The sequence below is a fragment of the Homo sapiens genome, chromosome 8 (assembly GCF_000001405.40).
Source record: "Homo sapiens chromosome 8, GRCh38.p14 Primary Assembly".
In the NCBI taxonomy this organism is placed as follows: domain Eukaryota; kingdom Metazoa; phylum Chordata; class Mammalia; order Primates; family Hominidae; genus Homo; species Homo sapiens.
This window is the reverse complement of record NC_000008.11, coordinates 47960921-47982059: the sequence shown is the minus strand read 5'-3', so window position 1 is coordinate 47982059 and position 21139 is coordinate 47960921. Positions and strand designations below refer to the sequence as shown.

General features: G+C 44.9%; 1 protein-coding gene and 1 pseudogene across 2 annotated transcripts, besides 2 other annotated features; both read right to left on the bottom strand.

Annotated features, from left to right (window-relative positions):
- Positions 2539-2646, bottom strand: RNU6-519P (RNA, U6 small nuclear 519, pseudogene; annotated as a pseudogene).
- Positions 3900-21119, bottom strand: MCM4 (minichromosome maintenance complex component 4). 2 transcript variants are annotated; one of them, NM_182746.3, is made up of 17 exons: positions 21046-21119; positions 20846-20929; positions 20380-20544; positions 19844-20007; positions 19654-19755; positions 19201-19296; positions 19020-19115; positions 17348-17486; positions 15653-15873; positions 14575-14695; positions 12003-12262; positions 11184-11549; positions 10592-10719; positions 8996-9203; positions 7098-7326; positions 6212-6345; positions 3900-5374 (listed from the first exon to the last, which is right to left on the bottom strand). In NM_182746.3, the coding sequence occupies exons 2-17, from the start codon at positions 20913-20915 to the stop codon at positions 5282-5284; spliced, it is 2592 nt and encodes an 863-aa protein (NP_877423.1). In that variant the 5' UTR covers positions 20916-20929; positions 21046-21119; the 3' UTR covers positions 3900-5281. The 2 variants fall into 2 exon arrangements, with proteins under 2 accessions (NP_877423.1, NP_005905.2); NM_005914.4 differs by having other exon boundaries at positions 20846-21119.
- Positions 7936-8075: a silencer, noted in NCBI's record as "silent region_19179". NCBI's record gives its function as "represses an Ori minimal core promoter by ATAC-STARR-seq in GM12878 lymphoblastoid cells {active_cell/tissue: GM12878}" and the evidence as "EXISTENCE:reporter gene assay evidence [ECO:0000049][PMID:35858748]".
- Positions 20686-21085: a silencer, noted in NCBI's record as "silent region_19178". NCBI's record gives its function as "represses an Ori minimal core promoter by ATAC-STARR-seq in GM12878 lymphoblastoid cells {active_cell/tissue: GM12878}" and the evidence as "EXISTENCE:reporter gene assay evidence [ECO:0000049][PMID:35858748]".

The window sequence follows — 21139 nt, the reverse complement described above, 5'->3', positions numbered from 1 at the left end:
AGCCCGGCTATAAAATATATTGAATGCAGGGGCTGGGCACGGTGGCTCACACCTGTAATCCCAGCACTTGGGGAGGCCGAGGTGGGCAGATCACCTGGAGTTCGAGACCAGCCTGGCCAACATGGTGAAACCCTGTCGCTACTAAAAATACAAAAATCAGCCAGGTGTGGTGGCACACGCCTGTTGTACCAGCTACTCGGGAGGCTGAGGCAGAAGAATTGCTTGAACCTGGGAGTTGGAGGCTGCAGTGAGCTGAGACCACACCATTGCACTCCAGTCTGGGTAACAGAGTGAGACTGTCTCAAAAACAACAACAACAACAACAACAACAACTACAAAAAAAAAAAAAAGGAAATCGAGGGAACATATGAACAAAAATGAGAATATCAACAAAGAGATAGAAATTACTAAAACGAGGCCAGGAACAGTTGTTCATGCCTGTAATCCCAGGCATGATTACAAAAAAAAAAAAAAATTAGCCAGGCATGGTGGCACACGTTTGTAATCCCAGCTACTCAGGAGACTGAGACAGGAGAACCACTTGAACCCATGAGGTGGAGGTTGCAGTGAGCCAAGATTGGTTCTGTTCAGCCTGGGCGACAGGAAAAAAAAAAAAAAAAAAAAAAAAAAAGCATCCATTAAAGGCTGGGTGCAGGGGCACATACTTGTAATCTTAGTATTTTGGGAGGCAGACGCAGGATGATTGCTGAGGCCAGGAGTTTGAAAAAAGCCTGGGCAAGGTAGCAAGACCCCATCTCTAAAAATTAGCTAGGCATCATGGTGTGTGCCTGTAGTCCCAGCTATTCAGGAGGCTGAGGTAGGAGGATCACTTGACCCCAGGAGTTTGAGGCTGCAGTGAGCTACGATCACACCACTGCACTCCAGCCTGGGTGACAGAGGGATACCCTCTGTCTTTAAAAAAAAAAAAAAAAAAAAAAGGCCGGGCACGATGGCTCACACCTATAATCCCAGCACTTTGGGAGGCCGAGGTGGGCGGATCATCTGAGTCCAGGAGTTCAAGACCAGCCTGGCCAACATGGTGCAACCCCGTCTCTACTAAAAATAAAAAAAATTAGCTAGGCCTGGTGGTGGGCGCCTGTAATCCCAGCTACTAGGGAGGCTGAGGCAGGAGAATCGCTTGAACCCGGGAGGTGGGGGTTGCAGTGAGCTGAGATCGCACCACTGCACTGCAGCCTGGGTGACAGAGACAGGCTCTGTTTCAAAAAAACAAAACAAAACAAAACAAAACAAAACAAAAAAGCAAACTTGATAAAATAATATCATTAAAGGAATGTCAGAGTGAAGGGTATATGGAAACTATACTGTTCTTGCAACTTTTGTGTAAGTTTGAAATTATTTCTATTTTTTTTTTTTTTTGAGATGGGAGTCTTGCTCTGTTGCCCAGGCTGGGATGCAGTGGTATGATCTTGGCTCACCACAACCTCTGCCTCCCGGGTTCAAGCGATTCTACTGCCTCAGCCTCCTGAATAGCTGGGACTACAGGCACGCACTACCATGCCCGGCTAATTTTTTTTTTGTATTTTTAGTAGAGACGGGGTTTCACTATGTCAGCCAGGCTGGTCTTGAACTCCTGACCTCGGGTGATCCATCCGCCTCAGCCTCCCAAAGTGCTGGGATTACAGGTGTGAGCCACAGTGCCTGGTCATGAAATTAGTTCAAAATAATAGTTTAAAAAACTGAATTACAGAAGAATTTTAAGAGTTTCTTAGATTTAGTAAGCAACAGCAGTTTTTAAAAGTATTTCCTAACTGATGTGCTGAGTCATTAAATTCTGGGTTTCCTCATTCCTCTTATTAGTTGTGTACTCCTTTAGATGGAGTTGGTTTTATCTATGATGGATGCTGAAGGAGAATGGCACATGCATTCTCCAATCAAATAAAGCAAGTCGTTTTAATTAGCAATACTAGATATCTCCTGGGTTCCATGAGATTATGAGGCATACCCTCTAAGGGAATACTTATAAGAATTTATGGGGCAGGACTGTAATTCCTCTTATTCCTCCACTCTACAGCCTAATACTTCGCTGTTTTCAAGAATGCCTTCTGACTTTTACACCTTCACCCTCCTTTCATAGGAGTTATCTCTACTAACATGTAACAAGCATCTAGCGCCAAGCACCAGGTACTGCACTGAAGGATACGACCATTCCTTCTCTCAAGAAACTTATGACCAGTAGGCAGGTTACAGACATAAACAAGTTTGCTAAATAACTACAATTTTTTTTTTCTTTTGAGATGGAGTCTCACTCTGTCACCCAGGCGAGTGCAAGGGCATGATCTCGTCTCACTGCAACCTCCGCCTCCTGGGTTCAAGTGATTCAGCCTCCTGAGTAGCTGGGATTACAGGCACCTGCCACCATGCCCAGCTAATTTCTGTATTTTTAGTAGAGATGGAGTCTCACCATGTTGGTCAGGCTGGTCTCGAACTCCTGACCTCTTGATCCGCCTGCCTCGGCATCCCAAAGTGTTGGGATTATAGGCGTGAGCCATTGTGCCTGGCCAAATTTTAGTTTTTATTGAAAGTATAGAATGCTTCATGGATTTGTGTGTCAAACTTTGTGCAGGGGCCATGATAATCTTTTGTGTATCATTCCAATTCTCACATATGTGTGGCTGAAGCAAGCACTGAATTATTTTAGACTCTGGAGAAAACAAAGTTTACTGAATTAAACTGAGATTCACTATGATGGAACCTGACAGCAACAGGACAACCCCATTATTTTCATTCTACTAAAATCCCCTTAAAATGAAACTATACACACACTTCATCTACAGTTGAATATACCTTCAACTTGGTATTCAAATACTAGGTTTAGAAAAATATTACTAGTACATAAACTTCAGGGGGAAATCATCTTAGTCAATAAGTACAGATTATTTAATTATTGTTCGACTTATGATTTTTCAACTTTACATGGTATAAAGCTGTTACAATTTCAATGTTCTTCAAATTTTGAATTTTGACTGACCTTTTCTTGTGTTACCAATGTGGTACACAAGACATTTAACACTTTATTTGAGACAGTATCACACCATCGCCAGGCTGGAGTGCAGTGGCATGATTTCCGCTCACTGTAACCTCCACCTCCGGGGTTCAAGCAATTCTCCTGCCTCAGCCTCCTGAGTAGCTGAGATTATAGGCACTCACCACCACACTGAGCTAATTTTTTTTTTATTTTTAGTAGAGACAGGGTTTGGCCATGTTGGCCAGACTGGTCTTGAACTCCTCACTTCAGGATCCACCTGCCTTGGCCTCCCAAAGTGTTGGGATTACAGGCGTGAGCCACTGCACCCAACCGTAACACTTTATTGTAAAATAGGCTTTGTTTTGCACTATTTTACTCAACCATAGGCTGATTTAAGTATGCTCAGCCTTTTTAAGGTAGGCTAGGCTAAGGTATGTTTGGTAGATTAGGTGTATTAAAAACATTTTCGACTTAGGATATTTAATACAGCATTCTACTGCTAACATTTTAATGCTATTTAAATATTCAATTAGATCTTTTTTTTTTTCTTTTTTTGAGATGGAGTCTCACTCTGTTGCCCAGCCTGGAGTGCAGTGGCATGATCTCGGCTCACTGCAAGCTCCGCCTCCTAGGTTCATGTCATTCTCCTGCCTCAGCCTCCAGAGTAGCTGGGACTACAGGTGCCCGCCACCAGGCCCGGCTAATTTTTTTTGTATTTTTAGTAGAGACGGGGTTTCACAGTGTTAGCCAGGATGGTCTCGATCTCCTGACCTCATGATCCAGCCATCTCGGCCTCCCAAAGTGCTGGGATTACAGGTGTGAGCCACCGCGCCCGGCCAGATCTATCATTTTCTATGGATACTTTATTAAAAAATGTTGATTCCAAGTTATAAAAAAGGCCCAACTCATATGATTTAAAGGTTTCAGAAATTATTTATTGTAGTAGTACTTACACGTAAGATTTTAGCCTATGGTCATTTTATAAAGATGACTGTTAGGATTTAATTCACATTTAAAGAAAATGAGATTCGTTATATTATGGTGTTTTTTATGACCTATAAAATACTTACCCCTACAAATTTCCATAAATGTAGTGGTTAGTAAAGCTTTTTTCTTACTGAAAAATAATGCCAGGTAACCAAGTATTATTCCTTCCATCATTTATTTAGGAAAAAGTTTTATGTATTAGGGTAAAGTGGTAGAAGTTAACCTAGAATCTAATAATCTCCAATCACCCATTCCTGATCTAATAGTAGCCATGAGAAAAAATCTCTAGAAAGAATCATACCTCTCAAAAAATAAAAAATAAAACAAAGGCTGGGTGCAGTGGCTCACACCTGTAATCTCAGCACTTCCGGAAGTTGAGGTGGGCAGATCGCTTGAGCCTAGGCATATCGCTTGCAGCCTGGGCAACGTGGCGAAGCCGTCTCTACCAAAAAATACAAAAAGTAGCCGGGCATAGTGACATACACCTGAGCCCAGGAGGTTAAGCCTACATTGAGCCGTGATTGTACCAGTGTACTCTAGCCAGGGTGACAGAGTAAGACCCTATCTCAAAAAAAGAAGTGCCATAAAAAAGAAAGGCTCTAGCCCTTTACCAATGAGGTGATATGCCCAGGCTATGCCTGTCATCAAATCCATAAGCATACTGATGATGGCCATGAGAAAGTCCAGCACACAAACCATGCCCCAGACTGCATCTGTGCATACACAGAGTAAAAGCCCTGCTGCTATACTATAAAATGGCACCTGAAAATAATCTCTACGGTATGTTTGAAAATTGGCAGGTTTTTTTTTTTTTTTTTTTTTTGAGACAGTCTCACTCTATTGCTGAGGCTGGAGTGCAGTGGCGCGATCTTGGCTCACTGCAACCTCTGCCGCCTGGGTTTAAGCGATTCTCCTGCCTCAACCTCCCGAGTAGCTGGGATTACAGGCGCATGCCATCAAGCCCAGCTAATTTTTTGTTATCTTTACTAGAGACGGGGTTTCACCATCTTGGCTAGGCTGGTCTTGAACTCCTGACCTCATGATCCACCCACATTGGCCTCCCAAAGTGCTGGGATTACAGGTGTGAGCCACCGCGCCCGGCCAGCATAGTATTTTTATTTATAACGTGAAAAAAATGAAAACAGATACTTCACTACAAATATTGAACCCAAGTTAGAAAATTTTTATGCAGCCAAACCATGACTTTAAGCTCTATTTACACTGATGGCGGCCAACTGAGATGCAGACCACACCCATGTGGCGTGCAGCAAGCAGGACATGCAGGGAGCCTTCCTTGCTCACAAGGCTTCAGAGCAAGCGCACGGTCTTCCCAGTCACTGTCAGGAAATCATCATCTGCCAGGGCACGCAGTGCTTCTTCAAACATATCTTTAGTAATTGCCTGTGGGGAAGAGAAAGAAAATAAATATTGTACACGTCAAGTCCCTCCTTTACCTGTTAGAAACACAATAATTATAATGTTAAAGTACCACCCAGAATCTTTCTCTTTTTGGTGGCTGTACACATGCCTTATGCTCTAAATCAGGAGTGGAGTAGCCAGATGGTCCATGTGGTAGACTTGGCATCTGTATAGTCCACGTTGTAACTATCAACTCTGCCCTCTCAGTCACAACACAGCGATGGAAAGTGGACCAGCACTGAAAGACTGCATAGTTCTTTTCACTAAACAACTACCTTACTTATTTACAAAAGGACACCCAAATATTTCATACCTAAAGCAAACTTATAACAACTATGAAAGGGGCATAACAATTTTTTCTTTTTTTTTTTTTTTGAGATGGAGTTCCGCTCTGGTGCCCAGGCTGGAGAGCAATGGTGGGATCTCAGCTTACTGCAACCTCCGCCTCCCAGGTTCAAGCAATTCTCCTGCCTAAGCCTCCTGAGTAGCTAGGATTTCAGGTGCTTATCACCACATCCAGCTAATTTTTGTATTTTTAATAGAGACAGGGTTTCACCATATTGGTCAGGCTGGTTTCAAACTCCTGGCTGCAAGTGATCTGCCCACCTCAGCGTCCCAAATGAGATTACAGGCGTGAGCTACTGCACCCAGCCAAAAATTTTAATTGTGATTATTTCTTGATGATGGCTTATGGTTCATCTTCCTTTTCTTCATTCTTCTCTATATTTATTATTTAATAAATAAAGGAAAAAAACCCAAAAGCAATATTAAGGAAAAAGAGAAAGCTCTATCAAACAAAAAATACATATAAACACTTACTATGTCAGATTGTCCCCGAATATCTTCAAAAAGTTGCTGGTATTTTAGAGCTGGTGTTTTGCCCTTAGATAAAATAAGCTTTTTCAATGCTTCAGCTAATTCTTCTTTCCGTTTACGAGAGGTGGCACTCATCCCTGATTTAAAAAGAAATCAATGAAAACATTTTTGCTATTATGAAATGAAATGCTTCAAATTCTCAAAAATATTCCTTTAGTAGTATCACCTAGAAAGATAAGGCGACAGGGGCTGAGTACATTTGAAGGGAATGAGTTTTTAATTATTTGGAAATTTCTGTAAGCCACTAGCTGCTGCTTTCCTTAACAGTCTACACATCTGTGCAGCAAGCAGCTGCTGCTAAGAAACAAACAACTTCTCTAAAATGGGTTAACAAAACTTCCCAGACAGTCAAGGAGACAGAATCTCCTTAAAACTATACACAAAACTGGAATTGAACAATGAGAACACACGGACACAGGAAGGGGAACATCACACACCAGGGCCTGTTGTGGGGTGGGGGGAGGGGGGAGGGATAGCATTTGGAGATACACGTAATGTTAAATGACGAGTTACTGGGTACAGCACACCAACATGGCACATGCGTACATATGTAACTAAACTGCACGTTGTGCACATGTACCCTAAAACTTAAAGTATAAAAAAAAAAAACAAAAAAAAACTATACACAAAACTGTGTGTGTTAATCAATATTTTTATCAAGATAAGATTAAAGGGCAACTTTCATCAGATTCTCAAAGGGGTCCTAATCCAAAAAAGGTTAAGAACTTCTGTTTCAAATGATTTAACTGTTAGCTTAAATCTGACATATAAACTACATGCATATTGAAATAATTTTCAAAAGCTTTTCTGTTCACTGAAAATAACGAACCCGTAGTAAGAATAGATATGTCCACGATGCCAGTCCGGGGATCAGTTGCAGACTGCTTCAGAGCTTCCCGATGGAGGCGTTTGGCCTCTTCCACATCAATGGCTTCAACTTTGTTAGACAATCTTACTTTAGCATGGGCTTCTGCTAAGCGGATTAATGACTCTAGCTGTCGAGGGTATGCAGAAACCATTCCCCGGCTACTGCCAATCTTCCTCATGTCTACATAAGCCTATTGTAGGTAGAAAAACAAAAGCAAAAGCAAACCTCCTTGGTGACAACTTTAGTTTTGTGGGTGAATTTTGAACACTTAGGCTTCCATTAAGTAAACGGAACTCAGATATGGTCCTGGGCCCCGGAGCTCATCAAGTGGTAGAGACTACACAGACAGACCACAGAAATCGCAGGTGAAGACATCAACGTGCAGCGTGCAGTGGTGGGTGAACATATTCCAACTGGGAGATGCTTGGGAAGAATTCTTGGAGAGGGTGGCATCTAACGTAGCTCTGAAGAACAGAGACGGGCATGGCGTGGCAGAGGGAAGGAATGTGGCATGTGGGGAGAGGAGAAGGCTGTGAGCACTCATAGGGAGAATCAGGCCTGTCTGGGAAAAGTGCTCACATGGGGCACAATGGGGCTCATAAGGATTGCTGGGAGAATGCTGCAAAGGTAAGTTGTATCAATTTCACATACAGATGACACAGTCTTATTTCTTCATTAACAACCCCCAAGACTATGACACACAAAAAAATTACATAATGTCTGTAACTTTCATCTTAGAATTTTTAGGAGCTCAGTTAGGATGCAAAGCTCATCAAAGCACCAGGAACCTTCTTAATATCACAATGCTTGAATAACCTAAATGTGCCATCATGCACTTCAGCTCATGTACCAGGATGCTGAAAAGTGAACCTAAAAGACAGCTCATTCTGTTTTTTACAAGCAAAAGGAAGCTTACAGAAACTGGATGACTTTTTCAGTTTCCAAATTACTGTGTAGTGTTGCCTCTATTTGAAACCAGGTCTTTGATCTTAAATTCACTATGCTTGTAAGTACTTAAACATATAAAGTGTGTGTACTACCTACATAAATGAACTATTTCCCCCTTTTGCAACATTTGGAAAGATCAATTTTGCAATATGGGAGGAAGTAATAAACAGTTATAAAAAATAGTATATTGCTAGGCGCGGTGGCTCACGCCTGTAATCCCAGCACTTTGGGAGGCCGAGGCAGGCGGATCACGAGGTCAGGAGATCGAGACCATCCTAACACAGTGAAACCCCGTCTCTACTAAAAATACAAAAAATTAGCCAGGCGTGGTGGTGGGTGCCTGTAATCCCAGCTACTCAGGAGGCTGAGGCAGGAGAATGGCGTGAATCCGGGAGGTGGAGCTTGCAGTGAGCCGAGATCGCGCCACTGCAGTCCAGCCTGGGGGACACAGCGAGACTCCGTCTCACAAAAAAAAAAAAAAGAAAAGTTTATTATTCTTAGGCCCAGCATGGTGGCTTGCGCCTGCAATCCTAACACTTTGGGAGGCAGAGGCTGGCGCATCACTTGAGGTCAGGATTTCAAGACCAGCCTGGCCAACACGGTGAAACTCTGTCTCTACTAAAAATACAAAAATTAGCCGGAGTGGTTGTGGGCACCTGTAATCCCAGCTAATAGGGAGGCTGAAGCAGGAGAATCGCTTGAACCCAGAAGCACAGGCCACAGGCTGCAGTAAGCCGAGATCAAGCCACTGCACTCCAGCCTGGGCAAGAGAGCCAGGCTCTGTCTCAAAACAAGGAAGAGAACAGTATGTTATTCGTAACAAAATAATTAATATTTTAAAGGAGATGATTGGTCAGTTACATTAATGCTGTGGGCTACAGGCACAGTAAGCCTTTTTTCAGCAGGGTTACCTCGATGAGAGCCTGGCTGGCTTCCTCACTTAGCCGCGGCATGATGGTGCTGTGCGCGTAGGCAATGTAGTCCTTTAGCACCGCCATGTCCAGGAGCTCCTCCTCTGCCTGCTCCTCGCTCTGGTAGTACAGTGCGACCAGGTGGTGAGCCAGACGCCTGTCATAGGCTTCGTCCTGAGGGTCCAGCAAGAGGAAGATCAAATCAAACCTAAGAAAACAAAGTAAAAATACTGTTTTTCCAGCACCTTGTGAGGCCGAGGCAGGTGGATCACCTGAGGTTGGTAGTTTGAGACCAGCCTGGCCAACACGGTGAAACCTTGTCTCTACTAAAAATGCAACAATTAGCCAGGAGTGGTGGTGCCTGCCTGTAATCCCAGCTACTTGGGAGGCTGAAGCAGGAGAATCGCTTGAACCTGGAAGGCGAAGGTTGCGGTGAGCCAAGTTCGCGTCACTGCACTCCAGCCTGGCCGACAGAGGGAGACTCTGTCTCAAAAAAACAAACAAAAAAACCCAAAACAACAACAAAAAAACTGTTTTCCTAGTTGAGACACCAATACACCTACAAACGACGTACTAAAGACTGCTTGAGCACCACAGATGTGCAGTCAATGTGCACCCTGTGAGCGCCATCAGGGAGAAGCATCTTTGCCTGGTGTGGAAAGGGCCTTCGTGTCCATCCACTCACCCCACTCACCCTGTGCTGTCCCTAGTCCTTAGGTCGGCCCAGGGAACGGCTGGGGACCAATCAGCTGAGTCAAAGGAAGTCTTCCCTTAGGGAAACGTTACTATAATTTTGACGATGGAAAGTTTTTTTTTTTTTTTTTTTTTTGAGACAGAGTCTCACTCTGTAGCCCAAGCTAGAGTGAAGTGGTATGATCTCAGCTCACTGCAATCTCCACTCCCCCAGGCTCAAGCAATTCTTGTGCCTCCTCAGCCTCCCGAGTAGCTGGGATTACAGGCATGCGCCGCCACGCCGGGCTAATTTTTTGTATTTTAGTAGAGATGGGGTTTCATCAAGTTGCCCAGGGTGGCCTCAAACTCCTGAGCTCAGGCGATCCACCCACCTCAGCCTCCCAAAGTGCTGGAATTACAGGTGTGAGTCACTGTACCTGGCTGACAATGGAAAGATTTGAATGAAAACACATTCAACTGTTTTTTTGGGAAAAAAAACTTCTGTCAAAAAAAAAGAAAAAAAAGCAAGTAATTAAAACCTAAAATCCATTTATGAAAAATGTCCAATATTTGTAGTGGGGCCAAGAGTGAAGATTATGTGATTGCACTTTAATAAATCTAACTTTTCAGAGCCTCATCTACTGTACGGAATTGTTCTCTGTTGACTCTCAGCAGTGGCTTTAGGACTAAGAGTAGTGAGTGACAGCCATGTGTAAACGGCGTGGGAGGTAAACATCCCAACTGCTTAAAAAACAAATGAGAACACACATCATCCTTGTCGTGAAAACTCTTGACCAACCAAATTTGAAACATCTTGATAAGAGTGAAGAGTTTCCATTAGCAGTTGCTGAAATCTTAGTAGCTCCTTTTCAATCTCACCCTGAATATTCTACAAATGAACAAAATAAAAATCTGTTTTAATACCTTGATAATAAAGTATGAGGCAGCTGGATGTTTTCAATGGTTGTTTTTTTAGGATTCCACTGAGACTCAATGGGATTTGCTGCTGCCAGGACAGAGGTGCGCGCATTGAGCTGACAGATGATCCCAGCCTATCAGAGCAAAGAGTGCAGTTAGAAGCCTCTCCCTGACGCTGGCAATTAACAAGCACCGTCTTCGCCCGGCCACCTACTAAACCCATATTCCCTCCACTGAGTTTCTATTGCCTGAGCCATGTTGCCTTTACTGACTTCAGCAGTTCACCTGGATAAGCCCTGTCCTCAGATTCATGCCAAGGACTGAGTTTAGATGAATGTGTGCTATAACCACATCTTTCTCAGGAAGCAGGCACCTTGCAAGAGCTTTAGGACAAATTCAAGGCTAGTACAGCAATAAAGACAAAACGTGACACCCTGTAGAAGACATGTTGAGATTTAGCTGAAATATGATGTGGAAAGCACTTATCAATCTCCCCAAGTTAGAACCAAGGTAGCACAGCACAGTTCCACAGACCCTGTCTTTCAAGGGTCCACATATTTTAAACACGTCCATGTTCACGGTGGAGAAGGCGACTCACCTTTGCAATGGACAGAGTCTGCTGTTCCATGACTTCATGCAATACCGATCTTGTACTTTCATTCATCTTGTCGAACTCATCGATACAGCAGATGCCGTTGTCACTCAGGACAAGAGCACCTGTCTGCAGGACCAGCTGCCTTGTCTCAGGGTCTTTCATTACGTACGCAGTGAGGCCAACTGCACTGGAGCCCTTCCCAGACGTGTACTGGCCCCTGGGGACGAGGTTGTACACGTACTGCAGCAGCTGGGACTTGCTGGTACCAGGGTCGCCACACAGCAAGATGTTGATCTCAGCCCGAAATTTGCCCCTTCCAGTGTGACTAAAATCCTTCCTTGTCCCGCCAAAGAGCTGAAGCAAAATTCCCTAAATAATCAGAGACATGTCTAAACATTCATTTTCTGCACAGTTAACTGAGATGTAGTTTAAACTTTAGAGGTACTTTTCTCTCTTATAAAGAACTACAATTAAGAAATCACAGGAAGGTATAAAAAGGCTCGTGAAAGTGCTTGATATGCTTTAAGTTATCACTGACCAGTTCATCAGCACCTATCATTACACCAGAATGGTGGCCATGCAAGTCCCTATTCTGACACTGTGTGGCCTCTTCTGTTTAGAAACCTAAGTTTAGACCAGAGATGAGGATAGACAATGCTATGATTCTTCTCAACCAATGGCAAGTCAGGTTGCCAGCACTTGCTCTAACAGGCCACAACTCTGTCCTTTATGGCGGATGGCTCGAGTGGCGGAGTGGATGTTTATACTATTTGATCCCAAAGAATTGTAAATCCCAACCCCTAGTTTAAAATCCACTGTTACCTTCTTTATATCTTCATGTTCATAAATGCTTGGAGCCAAGGCTGAAGCAAGCCTCTCATAAATGTCTGGTTTCCTGGAAAGTTCCTTAAGCAATTCCACACGTTTCTCTGAAAAAAGTTTCTGTTCTGCTTCTTCATCAAGGCCATGCAGACGTTTTGCATCCGTTTTCCGATAATGAATGACATCAATGTGGGTTTTGTAGACAGACTTCACATTACTCACTCTTGGATTGACTCGAATAGGCACAGCTCGATAGATGCCTGAGGGCACAACCAGGAGATGCACTTTTACCTTCCCATATCTTCCTCCGAGTGGCTCAGCAACCAGCGTAGGCAACAGGTGCACTTCAGAGCGAGGCACCACGTCGGGCTGGCCCTGGAAAGGGTGAGCTCCACCGTCTCTTAAATGACCCTCCCAAGCCCAGGACTCAGGCCCACATTGCAAAGCTCCCGCTTGCTATGAGCAAGCAGGGAAATAGCAGCAGGAAACGGACAAGCTCGAAAGAACCAAGGTGGCTCATGTCTGTAATCCTAGCACTTTGGGAGGCTGAGGCAGGCGGATCACCTGAGGTTGGGAGTTCGAGACCACCCTAATCAACAAGGAGAACCCTGTCTCTACTAAAAATACAAAAATTAGCCGGGCGTGGTGGCACATGCCTGTAATCCCAGCTACTCGGGAGGCTGAGGCAGGAGAATGGCTTGAACCTGGGAGGCGGAGGTTGCGGTGAGCCAAGATGGTGCCATTGGACTCCAGCCTGGGTGACGAGAGCAAAACTCCGTCTCAAAAACAAAACAAAACAAAATGAAACAAAACAAAACAAAACAAAACAAAAGAGAAAGAACCCAGGTTTCTGCAAATGATAGACCCGAGGACGTGTTCACCTGGGCCCACTAGTCAGCAGTGCTCCAGGGCAACTGTAGCTACGTGAGCATGCCCACGGGCACAGTCACCCTGAGGGTGAAATGGAGCTGCTGTGCTTCTAGCTCAATGCTGGGTTCGTGGTTGTTTTTAATAAGCAGTATTTTTACTTCCCTAAGTTGAGTGTACAGAATCTGCCTAGCACTTACTTGACTGCAACAAAATGCTAAAATCCTCCAGTCATTAAAACTAGACTAGGTCCCCCCAACCTACCCACCACCCCCGACAAAAGCATGCAAATCATGCATTCTTCTGGAAGCCAGGCTCCTCACATACAGAGGTCTGATCTGATGTTCGTCTTTTCTGGATTTCAAACCAGAAGGCTTTAACTCCAGGCTGATTCCTGCAGCTTTTGGAGAAAGCCTGGCCTTTCCCCGTTACAGCTATCTCAACGCAATGGCACAGAGCACTGTCCTTGTTTATTCAGTGGGTCAGTGTAATTCTTGTTTAACACAACAAACCAGTTTACACACATTCTTAGAATACACACTATTCTTCACTCCAATATAGGCTAGGGATGGAAGATTATGTTTAAAGTGGCCCGGAATGATTTATCTCACAGAGCAGCATTGATACTTATTTCACATCTACACAGCACTTTCCACAGCCCCTTGGCCCCAAACACTCTCACACATGTATCATCACATTAACTCCACTTTGTAGGTGAGGAAACAAAAATATTGGACTAAATACTTTATCAAAGGTTTCAGGGTAGCAGGACTGGAAATGCGCACGTCACTCACTAAAAACTACGCATTCTTTCAAATTCTCCATGACTTCAAGTACTTTTACGACGGAAGATTGCCAGTGATAACTGCGGGACTTCACACTGGGGAAGAAACAGGGTGAGCACTGCCTCACTGAAGACAAGAGCCGATGCGTGGTGTGCCCCAGGCCCTCCGCTCAGGAGCAGATTCAGGCACTCCGCGACCGTCGCCACCTTGCCCATCAATGAAGAACCGTGCTGCCATCAACACTCCCTTGCCCCCAACCAAAATCCATTGTGACTCTACAGCATCAAAAGGAGGACTGCCACACTCATATGGTGCTGTGCAAAGAGCACTCTTGTGGCAGCAAGAGAAGGAGACCTGGGTCCTGGGTTCTGATTTACCGTGGCATCTGAGCTACTGCTGTCTATGCATCCCTGAACCTCAGCTTCTACACATGGAAACAAGTCACTGACTCATTTTTCTCTGTAACAAACAAATGTTAACCCTTGGCTATACATTTGGGAAATTAAGTAAAAATTACTTAAAACTCCAGCATTGGTGAGTAATACTTCTCTGAGCTGATGGCATAACTCAAAACTTTACCCATACAAGCCTGTCTGAGGCTGCTCTCTCATGATGCCAACAGTACTGACTTGAGACACACACAGCTCCAGGATACTGAGGTATCAAGAGGCGAGTGACCACACGAACCATGAGCTCCAACATTCAAGTTTGGGAAGAACTGAACAATTTCATACTGCTGGGCCATGGTACTCAGTTAAAAAGGTGGCAGATAAAGCAGGGATATACCCCACAGTCTCAAAGACAAGCAGTGACAACTGGAGGTAGAACTGGACCTGTGACCAAGTCCAATGACTCACTAAAGCACAGCATTGAAAGCAAGCCAGACATGCTCAAGTGCTGGTGCAAACCTACACTCTTACCTGTAACATTCACTCTGTCCCCAGGCTGGACCTTGTCAACGAGATCATTGTGAGCAAACAGGATAACTGTGTGTGGTGTCTGCCCTGCAGGCATGTCTTCCGGAGACTCCTGAAGCTTGATCTGAAGGTCAGCAAACAGAGAACATGTGGGCCACAAAGAGAGGGCAGGGGGACAAAATCTGCATGTCTTTGTACTGCTTTTGCCATATAAGGCTGCAGTGCATATCCCCACATAAATGATTGTCCATGTTTCTCATTATTTCCTTAGAAATTACTTCTTCTAAAGAAGTTGCTGCAACAGACAGCAACAAAACAGGGGAAGGAATGTAGGGAGCTGCGGTGGGGGAAGCTGAGATGCTTTTCATAAAGCAGGGTCGAGGAAGGCCTTTCCAAACCAGGTACCCTCTGAGAGGCCTAAGGATGCTGGGCTTTTCTCTAAGCCACTTTGGGGGCCTGCATGATTCTGAGAATAGGAGGCCATGTGCTCCTGCGGAGCAGGGTGCCTGCCTTTCTGTCTCCAGCTCTCCATCCCATGCAACATTAAAGAAACCATGCACACGCAGTCACAGAAAAACTCAAATCCTGTCCTCCCACATCTTTACAGTCACAATCACGGTAAATAAGCAATTTTCTACCTTCCCCTCACTTTTTTCTGTCATTTTAATAACTTCATCTTAAAATTTCATGAATATAGAGAAAAAAGACCAAACTTCTTAGACAGTAAAATTTGTGAAAAAATTTCAGAAAAATTCCTCAATCCTTTACCAATGGAAAAAGCAGAATGACATTTAACCAAGTATTCTCATCTCAAACGTTTGAAGCATTTTAGGCCATGAAAATACAGTGTCTCTAACAACAGACAGTGCCACTGGCAACAGCACAGGGACAGTGCCCTGAAGCAGGGGCTTTGCGTGCTCTGCATATTTAGCCCATAGGCCACTAACGAAACCCACAAGACCAGAGAGGGATGGATGCCATTCGGGAAGTGAGGCTCAGGGTCCGAGGGACAAGTTATAGTTGGCCTTTTGAGGATACAGACAGGCAAAGCATAGCCTGGGGGGCCAGGGTGGCTGCGCACCATCTGCTTGTCAGAGAAGAGGGAGCGGTTGTGGATGAGTGCCATGCTGTGGGTGGTGTGGCAGCGCCCGCACACACTGGGCTCTGCAATGCGGCCGCGGTCCATCTCCACCCGGGTCGTGTGGGCACACACTTGGCACTGGAAGAAGGCCTCCTGCATCTCGGGAATCAGCTGGGATGTCCTGATCACCATGCCGCTGATGGTGATGAGCTGGTCAATGTCTGTGAGGGGAGAAGAGAGGTCAGCACACCTGACCTGAGGTGTGGAGGTCCAGGAATAGCTGGGATCACAGACAGGAGCTAGGTGCCCAAGACTCTGCCTAGGGCGACCTTTCTGTGTCCAGTCATCTGCAGGCTATGTCTTCAGGAGACTCTCAAGCCCAGCGAACCTCTGGCCCTTCTTCCTCAGGGCCCCTGTCCAGCAGGCATCCCTCGTTCCCTTCTTGTCTGCCTACCCTGCTCCCTGCCTCCTGCCTCACTCACCTGGCCTCCTGTATGACACCCTGCTGTGTCAGGAAAAAAGCCAGACAGCCTGGACTGAGTCCTGACCCTAGCCTTTCTGTGTACATTTTGTGTCCCCTATAGAATGGGGTGGTATCAGCACCTATCCCAGAGCCAAGGACTGAACGTGCCAATGTACTTCAAGCCTAGTAAGAGCACCTGGTAGAGAAAAAGTCCTCTATACTTTAAAGTCATTATTATCCACACAGGAGAACCCCTTAGATGCTCTGATCTTTCACTCTTGCTCGTTTCCTCTATTATTTGAACCTTTCCTGACAGACAACTTTTTCCCTTTGAAGGTCCCACTGCCCGCAACTAATTTCCCCTGCTGGTTTCAGACAAGCTACCCTGTTCTGGCCTGTATTTAGCCACTGCTAGCCGTGAAGATCACCCTATCCTGCCACTGATTCATGAGACCTCTACAATTTTGTTGTTGTTGAGATGGGGTCTTAACCTGTTGCCCAGACTGGAGTACAGTGGTGCAATCACTGCTCACTGAAGCCTCAACCTGCCAGGCTCAAGTAAGCCCGTCACCTCAGCCTCCCAGAGTGCTAGGATTACATGTGTGAGCCACTGTGCCTTGCTAATTTCTTCTTAAAAAGAGATGGAGTCTCTTATGTCACTCAAGCTGGTCTCAAACTCCTGGCCTCAAGTGATCCTCAAATCTTTAAAATCTAATTTTTTTTTTTTTTTGAGACAGGGTCTCATTCTGTCACCCAGGCTGGAGTGCAATGGCACAGCCTCTGCTCAGTGCAACCTCCGCCTCCCGGGTTCAAGCGTTTCTCCTGCCTCAGCCTCCCGAGAGTAGCCGGGACTACAGGCGTGTGCCACCATGCCCTGGTAATTTTTCTATTTTTAGTAAAGGAGTTTTGCCATGTTGGCCAGGCTGGTCTCAAACTCCTGACCTCAGGTGATCCGCCTGCCTCGGCCTCCTGAAGTGCTGGGATTATAGGCGTGAGCCACTGTGCCCGGCCAATAGTCACATCTCTTATATCAGAAACTTCAATTAAATTTAAAAAGTATAGGGGGTTCATAAGTATATAGGATAACTGAATCTATATTATTGTCAATTTATAATCCGTCACCTTGACTACCACCGCCAATTACTTCTTTCATAATTTCTCAATGAAAACAAGGCTATTTTCATGTAAGGCATTTTCCTTCAACAAAAGTAATCCTATGAAAAATACATTACCTTCTGGATTCAGGTTTCTCATATTCTTAGTCTTCAATGCGTTGAATGGTCTTACTTGAATCTGATGTTCTAAGATTGAGTCAGGGTAACGGTCAAAGAAGATTTCATTGACAGCCATGTCAAAAGTTGGAATAACTTCCTGTAAAAACAAATATGAAGATGTATTTGTATTCATATCTCAGTGTTAAATATAATAAAGGCATGTCAGATTAGCAAAGTATAAAAAGACAACATGTCATGTCCCCAAAGTATTACCCTACAGAATCATGCACGTGCTGTTTTCAAATTTAGGTATGCTGAACTATCTATTTCTGCATATTTTCAATTGGGTTAAATTTCATAATTTATACGAAAGTGCCTTCTTGATGTATACTGGCATATTCTTTGCTTTCTATTAGAAGGGAAAAAGATTTTGACCTCACACTTTATTTTCCTTCTATAATGAAGTGATACCAAAGTAAGTTTTTTATTTATTTATTTTTAATTTTTGAGGCAGAGTTTCACTCTTGTTGCCCAGGCTGGAGTGCAACAGCATGATCTTGGCTCACTGCAACCTCTGCCTCTGGGATTCAAGTAATTCTCCTGCCTCAGCCTCCCGAGTAGCTGGGATTACAGGCATTTGCCACCACGCCTGACTAATTTTGTATTTTTAATAGAGACGGGGTTTCTCCACGTTGGTCAGGCTGGTCTTGAACTCCCAACCTCAGGTGATCTGCCTGCCTCGGCCTCCCAAAGTGCTGGGATCACAGGCATGAGCCACCGTGCCTGGCGATACCAAAGTAAGTTAAATCATATTTATTCAAATTTCTTAACATATGGTTCCCATTTTACAGATGAGGAAACAGCTTTTGGTTGGCTAAGGAACTTGACCAAGGTTATGCAGCCAGTAATCAGCAAAACCAAGATTCAAAAACCAAGTCTGCTTGCCTCCAAAGACTACACCCAGAGTCAACAGAGCTGATACTTCATTAATAGAAACTGACCTGAGGCTTAGAAGTAAAAGTCTACAGTACAATATATTCTTTCAAAGCAGCAGGAAGTATGTAATTCATTTAAAGTATTTCCATTTAAGATAACTTACTTCATGAAACCCAAGAAGCTATCAGTTTTAAGATTCATCATTTTTCTACATGAAAAACACTGCCAAGTAAACCATAACCTGTCATTGATAGTAATACAAGTCCCACTTTCAGGAACATTAAAATGTGAAAAAAAAATGTTCATCTTAAAGGAGATGATACATAGTTTTTTTTTGTTTGTTTGAGATGGAATCTCACTGTTGCCCAGGCTGGAGAGCAGTGGTGCCATCTCGGCTCACTGCACCTCTGCCTCCGGGGTTCAAGTGATTCTATCGCTTCAGACTCCCGAGTAGCTGGGACTACAGGCATGCACCACCATGTCTGGCTAATTTTTGTATTTTTTAGTACAGATGGGGTTTCACTTTGTTGCCCAGGCTGGTCTCAAACTTCCGACCTCAAGTGATCCATTTGCCTCGGCGTCCTAAAGTGCTGGGATTATAGGTGTGAGCCACCACACCGGGCCAAAGGAGATGATACTCAGTTTCTTAAAGTGTTTGCGCATACTATCTTCATTACTGAAGAATTTCTGTTATCTGGAAACATTCTTTCTAGACTGTTACTAAAATTCATCAAGGTCAAAGCTAAATTCTTACCTGTGGGTAAGAGATGAGTTGTCTGTACAAATTTTTGTCAAATGATTTGATGTGTTCACAGTTCACATTTAAAAATGGCTCACCAATAACATTAATCTAGAAAATAAAAATGAACAAGTTATATTTTGCTAATTTAACTATTTTAAAACACGTAACTTGAATTTAAAGAGTATTTGATTACCTCCCCAAGTCGTTGCATGTATAGAGGTTCAGTAATATCTATGCCAACATTTTCTTCTTCTTTAGCCAGAGGGTCAATAAAACGCTGAAGAAATCTCTTTAAGTGGAGAGAAAACTGTATTAGGCATATAGCATTTGGGAACAGGCAACTACTAAAAACACACAAAGTTATGAGTATGTCACTATCAGGAGACAGAAATAAATAATATTTTTCTTCCTTTTTCTTTTCTAAAATTTAATTTGGAGATGGAGTCTCACTATATTGGTCAGGCTGCTATCAAACTCCTGGCCTCAAGTGATCCTCCCACCTTGGCCTCCCAAAGTACTGGGATTATAGGTGTGAGCCACCACAGGTGGCCCTTCTAGTCATTATGGCTACTTAGATATAGATTATAAACACGGTCTCCCAACATTTTCAGAGCCCAAAGTAAGAATTTTAATACATGTAGCTCACCTGAAAGTTTTCTTTGCATGCTGCCACATTTACATCTGTTCCCCAGATCACAAGTTTTTGGCCTAGAGACTGCTCACTTGCCACTATATCTTCTGCTGCTGCCTACACAGAAAAACATGACAGAATCATGAAAACAGAGTTACCCACATGATACCCGCCATAAGATGGTTTCAGGAGACTGCATACTCACCCCGTCAGACTGCAGATCCACTTGCAGGCCCTTCTGTGCAGAGCCCAGGTCAGGCCTCTGTCTCACAGGTGTGCCCCTAACACCACTTCTTGGGGTTCCCTCTACCCGAGAGCTGGGAGTGCCGTATGTCAGTGGTGAACTAACATCAAAGTCAAGAGGGATAGCTATAAAAACAAAATTAGGAAATTCTGGTGGCATATCAAACCTGAAATTACAGCATGTTGTCTGTTGATCTATACCATCTAATCGCAACAGCAAACTGAATATTTATTGCAACCTGCGGTGGCTGAGATTCTGAGCACTCTTAAATGTTCTATTAAAAAAAAGCACCAGAGAAGCTGCTTCCTCTGCTCACTAAGCCCTAAAACTACTATTTTCTGCACTCCGTTCAGCTCCTCTGGTTAAGAACATGCTCAGTCACGTGCAGAGGGGATGCTTTAGGCGTTATGCCAACTGTTATAAAGCCAGTAAACCTGAGCAGATAAAGCATCAGCTGTGTATCAAGCACAGCAAAACCAAGATCTTCAGACACGCACCTGAAGAATGCATTTGGGGAGGGCTGGAAAACAGCACGTCCTGCGCAGCAGGGCTCTGCAGGTCCACTCCAGGCGAGGTTGGCATCGGCTGCAACTCCCCCGTGGAGGTGGAATCCTCGCCTCTACGTCTCTGAGAGGGAGATGACCTGGCATCCTCACTCCGAGCTTGTGTCACACAAAACAGAAAAGACAGCCATTAACTTTCAGGGCCGGCCTTCCTGGATTTGTCTTTTCCTTGGGGCATTATGACTCACCACTGAACCAAACCAAACAGAGGCAAATGGCAATCGAATTAAGCAGCACCCAGGCCACAGCCTGCTGTGGGTGTCTGTGCGCACCAAGCGGCAGCGCCCAGCCCGAGGCTGAGCGCCCGGGTCCCGCGCACCCACCCAGCGCTGCCAGCTGCGGCGAGAGGGCAGACGGGGCGGCGCCGGGGGCTGTAGTGGGCCCGGCTCGGGGGACTCACGCGTCTGGGCGGGGGTGGCCCTTCCACGCCGGCTGCCGCGGCGGCTCGGGGTCGACGCCGGGGACGACATAGTGCTCGGAGTACCTGCGCGACAAGGACAAGCTCGGGCCGGGCCCGCCTCCCGGCTTCCCTGCCCTGCTCCGCAGCGCGGACGTTCCCGTCGGCTCCGCGCCACGCCCTCCCCGCCGGCGCGCGGTTACCGTGGAAAGGCGGCCGCTTGCCGACGACGCTCGCGGACTCCGAGTCCACCTGGCGAGTAGCGCTCCCAAACCGCGAGACCCAGAGTTCCCGCCG

What these genes read in the sequence shown, in the direction of transcription:
- MCM4 (NM_005914.4), bottom strand. Translation starts at nt 20,915, where the DNA reads ATGTCGTCCCCGGCGTCGACCCCGAGCCGCCGCGGCAGCCGGCGTGGA. An exon ending in ACATGCAACGACTTGGGGAG is followed by an intron (nt 19,116 to 19,200) that starts GTAATCAAATAC and finishes TTTATTTTCTAG; the next exon opens with ATTAATGTTATTGGTGAGCC. An exon ending in CATATCTATTCTTACTACGG is followed by an intron (nt 6,346 to 7,097) that starts GTTCGTTATTTT and finishes TTTTTAAATCAG; the next exon opens with GGATGAGTGCCACCTCTCGT.